This window comes from Homo sapiens, chromosome 7 (genome assembly GCF_000001405.40).
Source record: "Homo sapiens chromosome 7, GRCh38.p14 Primary Assembly".
NCBI lineage: Eukaryota > Metazoa > Chordata > Mammalia > Primates > Hominidae > Homo > Homo sapiens.
In genome coordinates, this window is record NC_000007.14 from 82,503,917 (window position 1) to 82,506,779 (window position 2,863).

Sequence of the window (2,863 nt, forward strand, 5' to 3'; positions counted from 1 at the left end):
CTCAATGAAGGCTGAGAGAGAACTTGGACTTCCACCCCTACCCGGCAGTAACAAGGTAGCACCCCTCTCTTCCTCTGCTGCAGCAGTATCAGAGAAAGCCAGCTATGAGAGATTTACATAAAATCCAGAGTCTCATAATGTGACTCACAAAATATCCAGGTTTTAATTAAAAATATTATGTTATCATTCCAAGAAAAAGGAAAACCACAATTTGAATAAAAAGGAAAAATCAATACATACAAACATTGAGATGACAAACATGTTAGGAATATCTGACCAATATTTTAAAGCAGAAATTTAAAACATGTTTTAACAAGCATTACAAATATGCTTGAACCAAATGAAAATAGGAAGTCTCAGAAAAGAAATAGAATATGACGGCAACAAAATACAATGAAAAAAAAAGAACCAAAGGGAAATTCCAGAACTCAAGCATGCAATAACTGCAATAAAAACTCAGTGAGCAGAATCAACAGCAGAATGGAAACAACAGAGAGAAAATAGATTTTTTAAAAATTGACAAGACTGCAGAGACCTGTGGGACAATAATAAAAGAGCTAACATTCCTATCATCACTCTCCAGGAAGGAGTATACAAAGAGGGCAGGACTGTGAAAGTACTCAACAATATGATGACTGAAACTAGTATAGGTACCTAGAATAATATGAAACTCTGAAGATTCAACAGTATAAACAAAACGAAACAATTGGAAAATGAACGAAAGGCATGAAGGCTAAATTAAGGTAAACTTCAGGAAGTTTAATGCCCTGACTATTGGAAACAGAATGACCATAAACCAGAAAGAACTCTTTAACTTATTCAGGTTAATTGGAATTTTTCGAGCTTACGGAAAATTTACTGAGTGAACTGTACCTCCATGGAGCAACTAATAAGGAGAATGTGCTTGTGATGCAAATGGCTATTTTTCTGCATAACAATTACTTCTGTTAACAATACATTTAAATGGTGTGTTTTTCCTGGGAATGATTTCCTTTCAGAGGAGGATCGTATTTATTGAATATAAAAGGCTGATGACAATAGCAAAAAGAACAGTGGTTCCAACCATCACATCTTTTTTTTTTTTTTTTTTTTGAGACAGAGTCTCGCTGTCTCCCAGGCTGGAGTTCAGTGGCACAATCTTGGCTCACTGCAAGCTCTGCCTCTCGGGTTCTTGCCATTCTCCTGCCTCAGCCTCCCCAGTAGCTGGGACTACAGGTGCCTGCCACCACGCCCTGCTAATTTTTTGTATTTTTAGTGGAGACGGGGTTTCACCGTGTTAGCCAGGATGGTCTCGATCTCCTGACCTCGTGATCCGCCCACCTCGGCCTCCCAAAGTGCTGGGAATACAGGCGTGAGCCACCGCGCCCGGCCCAACCATCACATCTTGATATGACTTAATGGGGAAAAATTTACCAAGACATATTTATTTTATACATGAATTTCCAAGATTGCATGGCACAATTCTGGTTTTATACCATCCATCAATCAATGTAAATGCACACCATTGCTAACGCCTACATGGCTGGGTAATACTTATGGGGAGTAGCTACTAGTAATGTTTTATTTAACCCTGACTTCTTCGGTTAGATTCAGCCATATATTTATTTCTACTGGCAACTCTGTATAGCAGCCTTAAGAGTCTATGGGAAATAAGTATTTGAATTTCACAATATGTATATATGAAGCTAAAAAATTCCTCAAAGCTTCTCTGACAATGTTCTCAAGGTTAGGTTACCACGTGGTTATTTATAATTCAGCATTTTTTTATTTTGACAGGGTCTCACTCCATTGCCCAGGTTGGAGTGCAGAGGTGGGCTCACAGCTCACTGCAGTCTTGACCTCCTGGGCTTAGGTGATCCTCCCATCTCAGCCTCCTGGAGAGCTAGGACAACAGGCACACACCACCATACCTAGCTAAATTTTTGTAGAGATGGGGTTTCACCGTGTTGCCCAGGCTGGTCTTGAACTCTTGGACTCAAGTGATCTGCCTGCCTCGGCCTCCCAAAGCACTGAGATTAGGCATGGGCCACTGTGCTCAGCCCTAGAATTCAACTTTAAACGAAGAATTAGTTAATAAATATGCTGATAGTCATTATTTATAATAAATGGTGGAAGTTGGAAATATCTATCATATGTATGACCAAAGTGTATGTTTTTTAAAGACAATCACTATCCTTTACTCATCTCTATATTTCCCTCAGGGCTACTTATAGAATTCTATATTTACTAGACCTTCAATATATTTGTCAAATGAATGCGTGAGTGTGAATGATGTTTATTTTCCTGAAAATATTTGTCCCAGACTCAGCTACCATTTTTCAGACTATATTCTGCTTTAACATTTACTATTGAATTTAAAAATAACTCACTGATTACTATATTTTGAGTCTTGATTTAAAAACACACACACACAATTGGGAAAGCAAAAAGCAACCCTTGACGTCCTGAAACCAGCGTGCCACTCACAAGAACTCTTGTCAGAAGCTGACCTGGTGCTCACAGCTAGGCTGTGCTGCTGTTCTGTTGAATGTAAACATTCTCAGATTATCAACATCAAAGAAGTTTACTCTGAGACCATGATAAAGTGTGGCAAAACAAGGCCTCTTCACAATTTTATCTAAATAGACAAAAAGGTCACTGTGTCACCCACAAACTACCAAACACTTCCATTTCCCAGTAAATATAAGCAAATACAAATGACTGTTTTTTAAAAAATCAATTACAGCTTTATTCTCATTCTAGTTGCTTTTTCTATTTCTCTAAAATTTATTGAGATACTGTTATGGGGATCTCTGGGGTGTCGCTTTTCTGGCTGGAAACCTGTGGCTGGTGGCGCCTTTGACTGAGTTTTGCTCGGGCCAGC

General features: G+C 38.8%; 2 annotated features.

Moving 5' to 3' along the window:
• Nucleotides 646-1,226: an enhancer, noted in NCBI's record as "OCT4-NANOG-H3K4me1 hESC enhancer chr7:82133878-82134458 (GRCh37/hg19 assembly coordinates)". NCBI's record gives its function as "activates a minimal SCP1, AML or CMV promoter by ChIP-STARR-seq in naive H9 embryonic stem cells {active_cell/tissue: H9 hESC(naive)}" and the evidence as "EXISTENCE:reporter gene assay evidence [ECO:0000049][PMID:30033119]".
• Nucleotides 2,460-2,863: part of an enhancer, noted in NCBI's record as "H3K4me1 hESC enhancer chr7:82135692-82136192 (GRCh37/hg19 assembly coordinates)", that runs on past the window's edge. NCBI's record gives its function as "activates a minimal SCP1, AML or CMV promoter by ChIP-STARR-seq in primed H9 embryonic stem cells {active_cell/tissue: H9 hESC(primed)}" and the evidence as "EXISTENCE:reporter gene assay evidence [ECO:0000049][PMID:30033119]".